The following is a 17,281-nucleotide window of genomic DNA, read 5'->3' on the forward strand; positions in this document are numbered from 1 at the left end:
GGCATAGGCATGCTTGTTCTAATATAGACAGACAGAGAGAGAGAGAGAGAGAGAGAGAGAGAGAGAGAGAGAGAGAGAGAGAGAGAGAGATAGATAGATGTAGATAGGCACAGATCCTAAAATAGCCAACAGCAATCTTAAAAAAGAACAATAAAATGGGAGAAATCATTCTTCCCAATATAAAAACTTGTTTAGCTACAATCATCAAGACTATGTATCATTGGCAGAGGAAAAGACATATCAATCAATGGAACAGAATAGAGAAGACAGAAATAAACCCATACAAATATGCACAGTTGGTTTTTGACAAAGGTGAAAAATAATTCAATAAAAGCAAGATACCCTTTTCAACAAATGGTACTGGGGCAATTAGACATCCACAAATGAAAAAAAAATTTTCGACACAAACCTTACACCTTAATAAAAAATTCACTCATGGACTTAAATATAAAATATAAAACATAGGAGGATATCTTTTGGATCTAGGGTTAGGCAAAGAATTCTTAGACTTGAAACCAAAAGTACGATCTATAAAAGGAAAAATTGATAAAGTAGATTTCATCAAAATTTAAAACTTTTGCTTTGTGAAGTACTCTGTTAAAGATGAAAAGATGGCCGGACGCGGTGCCTCACATCTGTAATTCCGGCACTTTGGGAGGCCAAGGGAGGCACATCACCTGAGGTCAGGAGTTTGAGACCAACCTGGCCAATGTGGTGAAACCTTGACTCTGAAAATAAATAAACAAATAAATAAGATGAAAAGATAAGCTGCAAAATGAGAAAATATTTGCAAACCACGTATCCAACAAAGGGCTAGTATCTAGAATATGTAAAGGACTCTCAAGACCCAACAGTATGTCATATGTTTAACATCTGTATATGTTATCAACCCAACACTATGTTGATACTTTTTTTGTTTAAATGTCAATTATCTATTTACATATCAATTTATACAACACGAAAATAATACATTTACTTATATAGTTACCATTAAACAAAAACCCAACAGTAAAAAAAGCAAACAACCCTATTAGAAAATAGGCAAAAGACATAGATTTCACCAAATAATAACAAATACATGAAAAGATACTCAACATGATTAGCCATTAGGGAAGTGCTAATTAAAACCACTATTAGCTATTACTACCCATCTATTAGAATGACTAAAATGAAAAATAGTGATAACACCAAATGTGGGTAAGGATGAGGAGAAACTGGATTACTCATACATTGCTGGTGGGAATGCATCATGGTACAGCTACTCTGGAAAACAGTTTGGCAGTTTCTTAAAAAACTGGACATGCAATTACCATATGATCCAGCAGTTACACATCTGGCCATTTATTCCAGAGAAATGAACACCTACATTCAGATAAAAACCTGTATATGAATGTTTATAGCAACTTTATTTGTAATAGCCAAATACTGGAAACAATCCAGATGTCCTTCAGTGGGTGAATGGTTCATCCATGCCATAGAACACTACTCAACAATAAAAAGGAACAACCTATTGATACACCCAACAACTTGAATGAATTTCCAAAGGATTGCACTGAATGGAAAAAAGCCAGTCTCAACAGGTTGCATATTATATGATTTCATTTATATAATGTTCTTGAAGAGATAGAATTATAAAAACAAAGAACAGATTAGTGATTCCCAGAGGTTAGAGATGGAGCTGGGGTCAGAAGGAAGGAGGTGAGTGTTTATAAAAAGGCAACATGAGAGATCCTTGTGGTCATGGAACTATCTATATCCTGACTATGGTTGTGAGTCTCATGAATCTCATGTGTGAGAAAGTTACTAAACACACACACTGAGTACAAGTAAACACACACACTAAGTACAAGTAAAACTAGGGACGTCGGAATAAGATTTGTGGTTTCTATCAATGTCAGTATCCTGATTGTGGTATTATACTATAGTGTTTCAAGATGTTACTATTGGGAGAAAAGGGGACATGGAATCTCTCTATCTCTCTATATTGCCTCTTACAACTACCTGTGAATCTGAAATTATCTTAAAAGTTTAATTAAATGAAAATAATGAGGGAAAAAAGGTAAGAGGAAAACACTGGAAGAGAAGAGAAGGAGAAAAGGAGGTTAGGAGGAAAGAAATGTTACAACTATTAGTTCCCAACATTGTACTACACAACTTTCATTTACATCAACTTACTTATTCTTACTACAACCTTATGAAATAATGTTATGCCCGCATTTTTCAGAGCTTTCAACCTGATCCTTCTGATCCAAATTTAATGTTCTTTCTATACTATAATTCACTTCCTTTTGTATGAAAGAACTCTGGGCAGGGGAGAAAGGGAACACATTGTAAAGAGAAACCTGTATCATCTTACAATAATTAATACTACTCAGGAGAATATTTTCGTACCCAAATTTCTTCAGGACAATTTTAACCTCCTTATTCCTGAAGCTATAGATCAGAGATTAAGCCAGGCACAACCCTACCCGCCCCCCATCTCTGCACACAGTAAGCAAACAAACAACAACAACAAACCCAAAAGTTTAAAGATAAAATATAATGAAGTACAGAAATTCTAATATTTTCTTAACCCAGTAGATCATTCTGTACATCACATTTTGGAGACCAGTAACCTATTCCATGGTTTGTAATTTTTTGTGAATTAAAACAGTTTTATATAAAGATCATATATATTTTTTAATAATGCATTTTTGTTTTTCAGCATTAAAATCCAAGACTTGGTTGACTTAAAAGACATGTATGTTATACTCAACCTGGATGAGGAAAATAAAGGTATTGATTTTTCTGAAGCAGATTGACATTTTATCATTCCAGTTACAGAGAGTAAGGTTGTGTTTGTTATCGTGTGATTTGCATTCGTTGTAGGAGGAATAATTTTTTTTTTTTTTTTTGAGATGGATTCTTGTTTTGTAGCCCTGGATGGAATGCAATGGCATGATCTCTGCTCACTGCAACCTCCACCTCCCAGGCTCAAGCTATTCTCCTGCCTCAGCCTCCCAAGTAGCTGGGATTACAGGCACGTGCCACCACGCCCAGCTAATTTTTGTATTTTTAGTAGAGATGGGGTTTCACCATGTTGGCCAGGCTGGTCTCGAACTGCTGACCTCAGGTGATCCGCCTGCCTTGGCCTCCCAAAGTACTGGGATTATAGGCGTGAGCCACTGTGCCTGGCCAGAAATAAATTTTAATACTCTTCACTAGAGTTCCCTAAAATAGTCTCCTTATTTTAGTAATTATGTTGTCATACTGCTTGACTAGAAAGATATGTCTACTTTGATCCAGAGATTTATAGTGAATTTTATCCTAATTCTAATGTAAAGTATAAATTCTTATATACAGTCATGACCCACATAATGACGTTTCAGTCCACATACATGGTCCATATTTACTACCTTTTCTTTGTTTCTTTCTTTCTTTCTTTCTTTCTTTTTTTTTGAGACAGCGTCTTGTTTTGTTGCTCAGGCTTACTGTACATTTTCTATATTTAGATATGATTCAATGTGCAAGTACTTACTGCTGTGTTACATTTGCCTGCAGTGTTCAGTACAGTAACATGCCATACAGGCTTATAGCCTAGGAGCAATAGGCTATACCATATAGCCTAGGTACGTAGTAGGCTATTTGATCTAGGTTTGTGTAAGTACACTCTATGATGTTCACACAACAACAAAGTCACCTAATGACAGATTTCTCAGAACATAGCCCTGTTGTTAAGTGACACATAACTGTACTTTCCCTTTGAGCCACAGGGAATGAGCCAGTGCTCATATTCTTATGCCAATCCATGGCAAATTTCCTAGTCTAAAAAAAAAACTACTTAAACTAGTAAGGAAAATATTTGAAAATTGTTATGTCTCTGGTAGCTTAAATGAAAATATTTGTTTGCTGCCTGCAACTATATATTGTTTTTGAATAATCATTTATTTTGTCGATTATTTCAGGATTGGGTACCTTGTCCTGGACTGATGATGGCCAGTTGCTAGCACTCTCTACCCAAAGGGGCTCACTTCATGTTTTCCTGACCAAGCTTCCCATACTTGGGGATGCCTGCAGCACAAGGATTGCCTATCTCACCTCCCTCCTTGAAGTCACCGTAGCCAACCCTGTTGAAGGAGTATGAAAATGGTGTTATTTTTCTTTTATTTATTAATAAAATAAGTTTAGCCGTTGATTTATTACTATTTTCTTTATTATAGGAGCTACCAATCACAGTTTCTGTTGATGTGGAACCCAACTTTGTGGCAGTAGGTCTTTATCATCTGGCTGTAGGAATGAATAATCGAGCTTGGTTTTATGTCCTTGGAGAAAATGGCAAGTCTAAATCCAGTTGTTTATTCTTATCTAGCACATAATTTCTGTTCTTATTTGGGAAGCACTGCAAGTTTCTTTTAGGACCAAGTCTTTCACTCTTTTTTATTCACATATCTCATTCTTAGCTTAAATGGTTTTGTAAGTCTTCTAAAAATTTGCATAATTTTTAGAAAGCTTTTATTCTTTACCTTTGTAGTGAAGGCAGCATAGCATAGTGGGTAGAATGTGAGCTTCAGAATTAGAGAGGCCCTGGATTTAATTTCCCCTTCTGCCTCTGTTAGCTAAGTGACTATAGACAAATCATTTTACACTTGTGAGCCTTACTCATCTGGAAAATGAGGATACTTCTACTTTTAATGGATCATGAGGAAGATTAAATAAAATGCGTGGTCTCACTTGGCACAGTGACTTTTTTTAAGCACTCTTAAACCTAGTGGGTACTTAATAAATGTTAGTTCTGTCTCCCCTTTTATTCTTTGAATAATAGCTATTAGCATGTGAGGAAAACCTTGTTTTGTTTTTTCTTCCCCTGCCTCCTCCCCATCACCTTTCCCCAATTCTAGGTCAGATAACCCTCAGGAATAGAACAAACCTGAAAATTAACCTGTTAAACAGGAAATACCATTAAGTTTCTTGCAACTTAAGGTTTAATTCTTTAATTGTTTTGCATATAATTTTATTTTCTATTACTTTGTTTCAGGTAAACCATAATGGAATGCCTGAAGGCAAATTTATATGGCAACTAAGATTAAAATGAAATTTAATCTTTAAGATTCAATTTAATTATTTAATCATTTAAGATTAAAATGAAATTTTAAGTTCAGAATATTTTTGCAAAAGCACACCTTTTAAAATTATTTGCAAGTAGGTATGAGATAGTTTTACCAACATTTTAATGTGTTGGTTTTTAAAAATTGCTACAGCTGTGAAAAAATTGAAAGATATGGAGTATCTGGGAACAGTAGCCAGTATTTGCCTTCATTCTGACTATGCTGCTGCACTTTTTGAAGGCAAAGTCCAGTTACATTTGGTAAGTATAATTTTGATGTCCTGGAGACGCGCTAAGTTATAATGAACAGCCTAATGTCTGATTATCAAGAATATTGGTCAGGAAGCAAGGATGTACAGACTAACTAGAAAGCCAAGTGTGAGTAAAGGATTAACAAAACCCTTCCCCTTCTATATTAGAAGTTCTGTTGACTTTCTAACCCTGTTCCCCAAAAACCTGATAAATACCAACAGTGCTACTCACAACATAGCCTTTAGTAAAACAGTAATAATAATAATAATTACCCTGTTGGTAAATTGGAGCTAGAAGGAACTATACATGAACTATAAAAACCTGATGGGAATGCCATACCTTTGGGCTTCCTGGAAGGTGTTGACTCATAATCGGGCATTTTGTGTGGGGGGGTCTTTGAAACCATGCCTGCTGAGTTGTTCAAGAGATGTTGGCACCTGTGAAGAGGGGGCTTCTAAGTCAGGGCATCTCTCACATCTGTTTCATGGCTCTTTACATCTAGGAAGACAAAGAGATTAACAATTAAATAGCTGCAGAGCCTGCAGTAAAGACTGTTCACACTAAGAGGGACATCTGTGCTACCTTGCTGGCAAGCCGTGGTTCCTGTGTGATAGCTTTCCAACTAAACTGACCTCTCGTAGTCTTGGGAGCCTGAATGTTTAGGTGAACTTGAGAAAAAGACACCCCTAGATGTTGTATAGATGGTTTACTCAAATAAATCTGTGAGCCATTATTATTCTTTACGTTTTAGATAGAAAGCGAAATCTTGGATGCTCAAGAAGAACGTGAGACTCGGCTTTTCCCAGCAGTGGATGATAAGTGCCGTATCTTATGCCATGCCTTAACTAGTGATTTCCTCATCTATGGTACAGATGTATGTATTGCCTTCTTTTTTAGAGAACACTGGGAATTTTTAATTTTTATTTTGTGATCTCAGTCATTCTCTTTTCCTACCAGTCTTTTTTCTATATTGAATCCAATACAATTAATGAAGTTATCTGTGATTAATTATATACATTCATGTGTCTCTTTGCAGTGGGGATACATTCTGAGAAACGTGTCATTGGGCAATTTCATCATTGTGTGGATGTCATAGAGTGTGCTTACAGGAACCTAGATGGTACAGCCCACTGCACACCTAGCCTGTGTGGTAGAGCCTATTGCTCCTAGGCTACAAACCAGTACAGCATGTGACTGTACTGAATACTATAGGTAATTGTAACACAATGCTATCTAGACATAGACAAGGTACAGTATATGTGTGATATAAAATATTTAAAATGGCATGCCTGTATAGGGCACTTACCATGACAGGAGCTTGCAGGACTGGAAATGGCTCTGGGTGAGTGAGTGAGTGAGTGGTGAGTGAACGTGAAGGCCTGCAGCATTACTGTACACTACCATAGATTTTTATCAACACTGTACACTTAGGGACACTAAACTTATTTAAACATTTTTTCTTCAAAAATAAATTAACCTTAGCTCACTGTAACTTTATAAGCTTTATATTTAAAAAAACTTTTTGACTCTTTTGTAGTAACACTTAGCTTAAAACACAAACACATTGTACAGTTACACAAAATATTTTCTTAAAAAATATTTTATTATATCCTATTCTATAAGCTTTTCCTTGTTTTTCACTTTTTTTAACTTTTAAACTTTTTATAAAAACTAAGACACAAACACACACATTAGTGCAGGCCTGCATAGCATCAGGATCATCAGTATCACTGTCTCCCACCTCCGCATCTTGTCCCACTGAAAGGTCTTCAGCGGGAATAACATGCATGGAGCTGTCATCTCCTGTGATAACAATGCCTTCTTCTGGATACCTCCTGAAGGACCTGGTTGAGCCTGTTTTACAGTTAACTTTTTTTTAATAAATAGAAGTGCACTCCAAAATAAAAATAAAAAGTATAGTATGATAAATACATAAACCAGTAACAGTCATTTATTATCATCATCAAGTATTATGTACTACACATAATTATATGTGCTATACTTTTATATAACTGGCAGCACACGAGGTTTGTTTACACCAGCATCAATACAAACTTCAGGGTAATGCCTTATGCTCTGACATTATGACATCCATGATGTCACTAGGCAATAGGAATTTTTCAGCTCCATCCTGATCTTATGGGACTACCATCATGTACATAGTCCATCGCCAACCGAAACATTATGTGGCGAATGACTGGTACATATATAGAACACACAGGTGGCATGATTTGTTAATATCAGTGGTTTTGTGATTTTTAAGCAATTTTGATGGCCTAGTGAAAAGTTCAGACTTTGGAGACTGGCAAATCTGGGTTCAAACACCAGTTCTATTACTTGCTAGCTGGTGCTTAACCCCTCCAAGCCTTGTTTTCCTTATCTGGGTGCTTTAAGGATTTAATTTGGTGATGAACATAGACAATTCAACTTCAGATCTCTAATGCGTGCATTTAGTAGGCATTCAGCAAATATTAAAATTAATTGAATATTAAGAATCTGACTTCAATTTCTTGGTCCTTTGAACCATGGGTACCCTAAATCTCCAAATATTACATTAGCCACATGCACATAAACTAGTTATAGCATCTTATATTTGTAAACAGTTTTCACAGATTTTTCAAAGCATATCATGCCTGTTACCTTGTTCAGTCTGTAAAAGAATTAAGTTGTTAGAAAATGCTTTGTTTTCCACTTTAGCAAAATAGTGGCCGGTGCAGTAGCTCCCACCTAAAATCCCAGCATTTTGGGAGGCCGAGGCGGGTGGATTGCTTGAGCTTAGGAGTTCAAGACCATCTTGGGCAACATGGCGACACCCCCATCTCTAATAAAAATACAAAAAAATAGCCGGGCGTGGTCATGTGTGCCTGTGGTCCCAGCTACTCAGGAGGCTGAGGTGGGAAGATCACTTGAGCCCCAGGGGTGGGTTGCCAGTGAGCTGAGATCACGCCACTACACTCCAGCCTGGGTGACAGAGCAAGACCCCGTCTGAAAAGCAAACAAACAAACAAAAAAACAAAAAACAATAACAACAAACAAAAAGTTATTTACTACTTTAAAAGTTTCCACTTTCTCACATGAAATTATGATTATCATTATTGTTTTTTAGAGACAGGATGTCACTCTGTCACCCAGGCTGGAGTGCAGTGGCACAATCATAGCTTACTACAATCACAACCTCCTGGGCTCAAGCAATCGTCCTGCCTTATCCTTCTGAGTAGCTAGGACAGATGCATGCCACCATGTCGTGCTAATTTTTAGTTTTTTAAATTATTTTTCTTTTTTCTCTTCTTCTTCTTCTTTTTTTTTTTTTTAGAAACAGACCTCCTTGATTTTTTTTTTTTTTTTTTTTTTTTGAGACAGAGTCTCTCTCTGTCGCCCATGCAATTCTCTGCCTCAGCCTCCCTAGTAGCTGGGATTACAGGTACCCGCCACCACACTCAGCTAATTTTTGTATTTTTAGTAGAGACGGGGTTTCATCATCTTGGCCAGGCTGGTCTTGAACTCCTGACCTCGTGATCCACCCGCCTCAGCCTCCCAAAGTGCTGGGATTACAGGCGCAAGGCACCGTGCCCAGCTGAAACATTTTTTATATTTTCTTTTTATTTATTTATTTATTTATTTTAGAAACCTGCTAATTAATTTTTTTTTTTTTTTTTTTTTTTTTGATGGGGGTAGAAACTGGGTCTCCCTTTGTTGCTTGGGCTGGTCTTGAACTCCTAGTCTCAAGTGATCCTCCTACTTTGGCCTCTCAAAGTGCTGGAATTACAGGCATGGGACACAGGAGCCTGGCCTAAATTATTTTTTTTAAAAGAACATGTTTTAAAGCATGCTTGTTGCCATCTGAGAGACTTTTTAAAATTTATGTTTGACCTAAACTAGTAAGTCTCTGAGATAATATACATCAGTAAGGTAGGTCTCATATATCAGGTAATTTGGTGATATGGAAAAATATGGAATAGGAAATTTGTATGACACTAATAGTTTATAGAGCCCTGATCTCACTTATTTTATCTCATTATCTATAAAATACACAGGGAAATTTTCAGGAGGAAGATACTGAAGATTGAGAGGCTAGCAAGTCTGTAGCAAAGTGGAACTTAAACTAAGATTTCCTGATGGAAAATCTACTCTTTCCACTATGCCACAGTGCTTTTGGAATAAGTGTAGTAGTCTGTTCATAAAGCAGCAACTATCCTGGTTTCATTCTTGAGTGATTCAGAAAATATCATGTTTTTTGGCAGCTTTATTGAAGTTTAATTGATATGCAAAAAAATGCACTATTAAAGTTATACAATTTGGACAGGCGTGGTGGCACATGCCTGTAATCCCAGCACTTTGGGAGGCCAAGGCAGGCTGATTGCCTGAGCTCAGGAGTTTGAGGCTCAGAAATAGTGAACATACTCATCACCCCCAAAAGTTTTCTCCTGCTCCTTTATGATTCCTCCCTCTCATCTGTCCCCACCCCATGCTTTTTCTGTAACTGTAAATGTAATAAATGTTTGTATATTCTAGAGTTTCATATAAATGGAAACATAAAGTATGCACTACTTTTTGTTTGTCTTTTATTCAACATTAATTTTTTTGAGATGCATTATGCTGTTGTGTGTGTCAGTAATTCATTTCTTTTTATTGCTGAGTAGTAGTAGTCTATAGTATGTATATATCATAATTTGCTTATCCAAGAATTATAGGTGAACATTTGAGTTATTTCCAGTTTGGGGTATTTACAAATAAAGCCTCTATCAACATTCATGTTCAAGAAACTGGTAAACTGTTCTCTAAATCGGTTGTACCATTTTACATTCCCATCAACAGTGTGTGAGTGTTCCAGTTCCTCTCTGTCCTCACCAAGATGTGACATAATCAGTCTTTTTCATTTTAGCCACTCTAATAGATGTGTAGTGGTATCATTGTTATTTTAATTTGGATTCCTAATGAACTAATGATGTGGCACTTAGCATATGTTTATTTGCTTTCTGTATATCTTTGGTGAAGCGTCTGTTCAAATTTTTTGACCAATTTTTGATTGAGTTGTTTTCTTATTGATTTATGAGAGTTCTTTATATATATTTGGATTCAACTCCTTTATCAGATGTATGCTTTGCAAATATTTTCTTCCAGCGCACAGATTGTATTTTTATTCTCTTAATAGTGTCTTTCAAAGAGAAGATTTTTTTTAATGTTTACAAAGTCCAGTTTATCAATTTATTTTTTCATGGATCATGCTTTTGGTGTCATAGCTAAGAAATCTTTGCCTAACCCAGCGTCACAAAATTTTTTCCTATGTTTTCTTCTAGAAATTTTATAGTTTTATGTTTTGCATTTAGGTCCATTGAGTTAAATTTTGTTTATGCCATGAGGTATAGATCACTTTTTGCAAATGATATCCAGTTGTTCCAGCACCATTTTTTGAAAAGATTATCCTTCTCTATCTTGCCCTGAATAGAAGTCCAAAATGTTACCTTTTTTTAAATTTTAATTAAACTTTCTGTTTTGAGATCCTTGTAAAATTCACATGCAGTTGTAAGAAACAACGCAGAGAGAAGTCCTAGGTACCCCTTTACCTAGTTTCCCGCAGTGGTAACATTATAGTAATCACAACCAGGATATTGACATTGGTACAGTCAACATACAGAACAATTCTGCTGCCACCCCATTCTTAACCCCTGGTAACAACTTGTTCTCCATTTCCATAATTTTGCCATTTCAATAATGTGTAAATGGAATCAAACAGTATGCAATATTTTGAGATTGGCTTTTTTTTCACTCAGCAGACTTCTCTGGAGATTCATCTAAGTTGTGTGTATCCATAGTTTGTTCCATTTTGTTATTGAGTCGTATTCCATGGTATGGATGTACTTAGTTTGTTTAACATTTGCCCATTGAAGGGCATACGGACTGACAGCCAAGTGGAGTTTCTTTTTGAGGTTATGAAATGTTTTAATATTGATTGTGATGAAGTATTGCACAACTCTATGAATATACAAAAAACCATGGAGTTGTATCCTTTAAGAGGGTGAATTTTATAGTGTGTAAATTATATCAATAAAGCTATTAAAAATAAGAATAAAAGTACAGTCCTCTTTGTTTTTCATTTTTTGTTTTTGTTTTTGTTTTGAGATGGAGTCTCGCTCTGTCGCCCAGGCTGGAGTGCAGTGGCGCGATCTCAGCACACTGCAACCTCCACTTCCTGGGTTCAAGAGGTTCTTCTGCCTCAGCCTCCTGAGTAGCTGGGATTACAGGCACACGCCACCACGCCCAGCAAATTTTTGTATTTTTAGTAGAGACGGGGTTTCACCATGTTTTAGTAGAGATGGGGTCAGGCTGGTCTGGAACTCCTGACCTCGTGATCCACCCACTTCGGCCTCCCAATGTGCTGGGATTCCAGGCATGAGCCACCACGCCTGGCCAAATACAGGCATCTTTAAAACAGGAAAAAGAATCAGTTGAACATATCTGTCTCTATTTCAGGCTTCCATTGATCTGTGTATCTGTTCTTCCACCAATACTACGCAGTCTTGATTACTATAGCTATAAAAAGAAAGCCTTAAAATTGGGTAGACTAATTTCCCACTTTATTTTCTAAATTGTTTTAGCTCTTCTAGTTTATCAGTCTGTATAAATTTTAGAATAATTGTGTGTCTATCTACAAAAAAATCTTGTTGAAATTTCTTTTATTAGAATGATATTAAACCTTTATATCAGATGGGAATAATTAACATGTTAATTTCCCATCCATGAACACAGTATACCTCTCCATTTAGTTAAATATTTTGTGTCTTTCATTAGTGTTTTATAATTTTCAGCATACAAGTCCTGGGCATGTTATGTTTAAGTTTATACCCAAGTATCTCATTTTTTGAGTAATTGTAAATGGTATTGCATTTTTAATTTGGTATGTACATGTTCATTGCTAATATACATTCAGTTGATTCTATCAGGTGGATTTTTTTGTCTTAAAATTAATTTTCTAATTTATTAATAGCAAAAAATTGAAATAATGTATTTAAAAGTTACTCCTATATAATAGGGGTATTTCTAGCAAGTAGGAAATCTAAAAATCAATTATGCTTTAATATCACTAAGAATGTTAGAATTAATAGACTGTTTAATCACAGGTACAGTCCCATTTTATTTTTATTTTTATTTTTTATTTTTTATTTTTTTGAGTCAGAGTCTCGCTGTATTGCCCAGGCTAGAGTGCAATGGTGCAATCTCGGCTCACTGCAACCTCTGCCTCCTGGGTTCAAGCAATTCTCCTGCCTCAGCCTCCCAAGTAGCTGGGATTACAGGCGCCCGCCACCATGCCCAGCTAATTTTTGTATTTTTAGTAGAGATGGAGTTTCACCATATTGGCCAGGCTGGTCTCTTGGCCAGGCTGGTCTCGAATTCCTTACCTTGTGATCCGCCCGTCGTGGGCTCCCAAAGTGCTGGGATTACAGGCAAGAGCCACTGCGCCCAGCTTTTCCCATTTTATTTATTTTCTTGAGTCTGTACCTTTCACATATACTAAATATTATTCTTAGATACTTCATCAAAAACATGACATTTTTCTCTTAAAATTAGAACATATGTTTAATTTAAATGTTGAAAGTTAGGATTTCCTTGACTACCTTTTATATTTTCATGGCTGGATTTTTTTTTTTTTTTAGACTGGTGTCGTTCAGTATTTCTACATTGAAGACTGGCAATTCGTTAATGATTATCGACATCCTGTCAGTGTGAAAAAGATTTTTCCCGACCCAAATGGGACCAGATTAGTTTTCATTGATGAAAAAAGTGATGGATTTGTTTACTGTCCAGTAAGTCTGGAACATTTTTAAATGTTTATTTTTTGAAATGCAATATAGGGAAAAAAAGTGTTTAAAGCCTATCTCATGTAAAATTTTCTATTAATTAGTGCCAAGGATTGTAGTTCTTTGCTGTCATCTTCATAATATCATGTTTATGATAGATTTCTCATATCAAGAAAACTTTTTCCATTATTCTGTAATTTTTCATAGTGGCCATCCCAGAAAGATTTTTAATGGGAAAAATAGTTATTATATCCTAAACCACTTTCAAACTTATCATATACTTACTGCACAATACAATAATTATAGTGTATCTGCCTGTACATGACTTTTCTCTCCCAATAGGCAGTGAGCTTATCTGTGCCTTCTGCCCACCTCAGTTGATTTTCCTCTTTCCTTGAAGATCCTGAGCACAAGGAACAGGTATTTCTGTATTAGATGAGTAAAAATGGATGAACCCATTTTAAAAATCAGTCACTCATATTTTTAAACATCCTTAACTTTTTTGAAAATAGATTTAGAAAAAAGGAGATGTGCCTTTACATTAGTTAACTACAATTGGATTTTTCATTTACTTTTTATATCCTGTTAATGGTTTACTGTGTTTTTGGTCAAATTCACATAAGCTACAGCTGCTTGTGGACCCATCCTTAATACTGTTTCCAGGTGCCTAGGTCTCACTGTGTTGTCTCCCCAATGTAAACAGCCTGCTCCTCACTGCTACACTTCACTTGATACAAAGACTTACTTCCTCCCCATGCCCGCCCCTTCTTCCTTTCCTTTCCTTCCCTTCCCTTTCTCTTCCCTTTCCCTTCCCTTCCTTTCCTTCTCTTCTCTTTTTCTTTTCTTTCTTTATTTGACAAGTATAACAAATTTCCACAGATGTACCTGGATTATATATGCCAAATTCCTAATCTGCTAGTTCTTAGTCAATGCATTCCTCTCCCAATTGCAAAGCAAATGAGGATGACATAAATGAAGATAAACCTCGAGTTTCCTCTACTTAATACAGAAATTCCACCTTGTATAGGTTTCCTTTCTATAACAGGGAACTAATTAGAGCTGCCTTGAATTTCCCCTGTGTGCGTTCACCACAGTTAGAAACTGTGGCTTAGACAGAATATACAAGAGAGTAGGAGGGTAAATCAGGTATCTGTCAGGAGTTAAATTCAGAAATAGGGTGTAGCTGCTAGGAAAAGGGTAAGGAGTAAGGTCAGCCTTAAACAAGGTGATTTCAATCATTTTTACTTTCTCCATTTACAGTTCTCTTTTTCTTGATAATTTCTGTTAAAGAGCTCTCACTTTGATTGGATTTCCAGTTTTTCTGTCTGTCTAAGATGGAGACAGTTCTAGTACCTACTTTGTAGGGTTGTTAAATGAAAAGTAAATAGGATGATGCATGTAAGCTTTTAGTATAGTGTTAGCCACATAATAAGCACTAAATCTTTTTTGAAAACAGTTCGGCCACTAGTCCAGTGGCACTGATGTGCTCATCTATACAAAGTGAGAATCAGTATAGCATAGTGGTTAGAAGCAGAGACTCAGGAGCCAGACTGCCTGGGTTCAAATACTGGCTCGTCAGCCTACTAGCTGTGTGACTTTGGGCAGATTTCTCTGTACTTTAGTTTCTTCATCTGTAAAACGGGAATAATAATAGTATCTGTCTTCTAGAGTATAAGGTTAGAATTAAATGAAGTAATTAGTACAATATCTTGTAAGTAGCACTGTCCAATACAAATATAATGTGAACCAAATATGTAATTAAAAATTTTCTATTAGCTACATTTTTAAAAGATAAAAAACGAACAGATGAAATTAATTTTAATATATTTAATTTAACCCTTGAGGAATCGCCACACTGTCTTCCACAATGGTCGAACAAATTTACATTCCCATTAACAGTGTAAAAGCGTTCCTCTTTCTCCTCAGCCTTGCCAGCATCTATTGTTTCTTGACTTAATAATCGCGATTCTGACTGGTGTGCAATGGTATCTCAATATTATCATTTCAATGTGTAATTGAATATAAAAAAAGTAATGAGATATTTTACAATCTTTTTTTCATGCGAACTCTCTGTGTAGTTTACACTTAAACATATCTCAATTCGGACTTGGCACATTTCAGTGCTTAATAGGTACATCTGGCTACATGTAGATGTTATAATAGCAACTACTATGTTAAATAACACAGCTTTGTAGTATGAATTATTATTTGCAAGAATTTTATATTTCATTCTCATTTTGAGAGTAGGATGAGGCAGATATTTTTCAGTTCCCTATTCAGGATATATACAAGCCTACCTGCCTGAGTTCACAGGACTTATATGGACTGATTTTTGTAAACAGCTTATTTAGTATAATATTACAGTCAGCCCACCCTATCTGTGGGTTCCTCATCCATGGATTCAGCCAACTGTAGATCAAAAATATTCAGGGGAAAAATGGATGGTTTTGTCTGTGCTAAACCTGTGCAGAAAACTTTTGTTGTCTATATTCCCCATACAGTATGACAACTATTTACATAGCATTTATATTGTATTAGGTATTATAAGTAATCTAGAGATGATTTAAAGTATAAGGGAGGGTGTACATAGTTTATACACATATTACACCATTTTATTCAGGGATTTGGCCATCTGTGGGTTTTGCTATCCGTGGGAGATCCTGGAACCAATCCCTCATGGATGTTGAGGGATGATTGTATATTTATATTTGTTGACATGCATTTTAGAGAAGCTTTTGAAATAAAGTATCCCTAGTGTAATTTACTTCAATCATGTGAGTTAATTTGTTTCTTAATACCCACTATTATCAAATACTCAGTATTATTGAAAAATTTCTAAACACAAGTACAAGTGTGTTCGTAGTTTAAATTTCTGTCATCCTGAGCAGCTTTAATTTTTTTTCCTTAACCTGAAGCTTTGTGTCTAGACTTGTGGGTTCTCCTACAAATTTGCCAGATTTTAGATCAAACCTTGGCTTTTCCAAATAACTATAGTTTTTTCAAGCCAGACCTAGGATAGGAATGGAAAAAGAAACTTTCTTTCCTGTTGTTGTTGGAGTGATGTTAGGTTGAATATGACTCAGTAAGCTAAGCCAGCTAAGGCTGCAAACAGGCTTCTACCACGGCAAATGATAATGATTCAAGTACAGACTTGGGGCAAATCTGTAAATTTTATTTTGTAGGTCAATGACGCTACCTATGAGATTCCAGATTTTTCACCAACCATTAAAGGTGTTCTTTGGGAAAACTGGCCAATGGATAAAGGTGTATTTATTGCTTATGATGATGATAAGGTGTACACTTATGTCTTTCACAAGGACACTATACAAGGTACTAAACCCCTTTTGTGTATATTCGCTGACAGATGAATTTCCCATTGCAGTAAAATTAAAACATTCTTTCTGATGTTTGTGCTGAGTATTAGCTTTCAGCATTGCGATGTCTGTTTTATAATGTAGGAGCCAAGGTTATTTTGGCTGGTAGCACCAAAGTTCCTTTTGCTCATAAACCTTTGCTGCTATATAATGGAGAGCTGACCTGCCAAACACAGAGTGGAAAAGTAAACAACATCTACCTTAGCACCCATGGCTTTCTCAGCAACTTAAAAGATACGGGGCCTGACGAACTGAGACCAATGCTGGCACAGAATTTAATGCTAAAGAGGTAGGCTTTCACACACTTCTTTTGGAACTTCTCATTTGCTTTTGTGATTTTAAAGGTCAAATCCTATAATTATTCTATCTTATTTTATTGCTTTATTCTTTATCCTTGCAAGAATTTTTTTTTTTTTTGTAAATGTAGAAGTACAAGTGCAGTTGTGCTACATGGATATAGTGCATATGGTGAAGTCTGGGCTTTTAATGTACCCATCACCAGAATAGTGAACACTGTACCCAGTGGGTAGTATTTTATCCCTCAACCCTGTCTCACCATCCCGCCTTTTGGAGTTGCCAGTATCTATTATTCCACCTGTATGTCCATGTGTACCCATTGTTTACCTCCCACTTCTAAGTGAGAACATGCAGTTTTTGACTTTGGGGCATTTCACTTAGGATAATGACCTCGAATTCCATCCATATTGCTGCAAAAGACATGATTTCATTTTTTTAATGGCTGAGTAGTATTCCATAGTGTGTATATCTATATATAC

General features: G+C 35.9%; 1 protein-coding gene across 10 annotated transcripts in view; it reads left to right on the plus strand.

Moving 5' to 3' along the window:
• Window positions 1-17,281, plus strand: part of WDR19 (WD repeat domain 19) — a 103,282-nt gene that overhangs the window by 29,368 nt on the left and 56,633 nt on the right. For all 10 annotated transcript variants that reach the window (XM_011513724.2, NM_025132.4, NM_001317924.2 and 7 more), the window contains 8 exons: window positions 2,705-2,775; window positions 3,945-4,117; window positions 4,200-4,314; window positions 5,238-5,344; window positions 6,087-6,209; window positions 12,988-13,137; window positions 16,314-16,461; window positions 16,590-16,794. In XM_011513724.2, the coding sequence (XP_011512026.1) occupies window positions 2,705-2,775; window positions 3,945-4,117; window positions 4,200-4,314; window positions 5,238-5,344; window positions 6,087-6,209; window positions 12,988-13,137; window positions 16,314-16,461; window positions 16,590-16,794 (1,092 nt within the window). The remainder of the gene's footprint in view (window positions 1-2,704; window positions 2,776-3,944; window positions 4,118-4,199; window positions 4,315-5,237; window positions 5,345-6,086; window positions 6,210-12,987; window positions 13,138-16,313; window positions 16,462-16,589; window positions 16,795-17,281) is intronic.

Source organism: Homo sapiens, chromosome 4 (assembly GCF_000001405.40).
Source record: "Homo sapiens chromosome 4, GRCh38.p14 Primary Assembly".
Classification (NCBI taxonomy): Eukaryota; Metazoa; Chordata; class Mammalia; order Primates; family Hominidae; genus Homo; species Homo sapiens.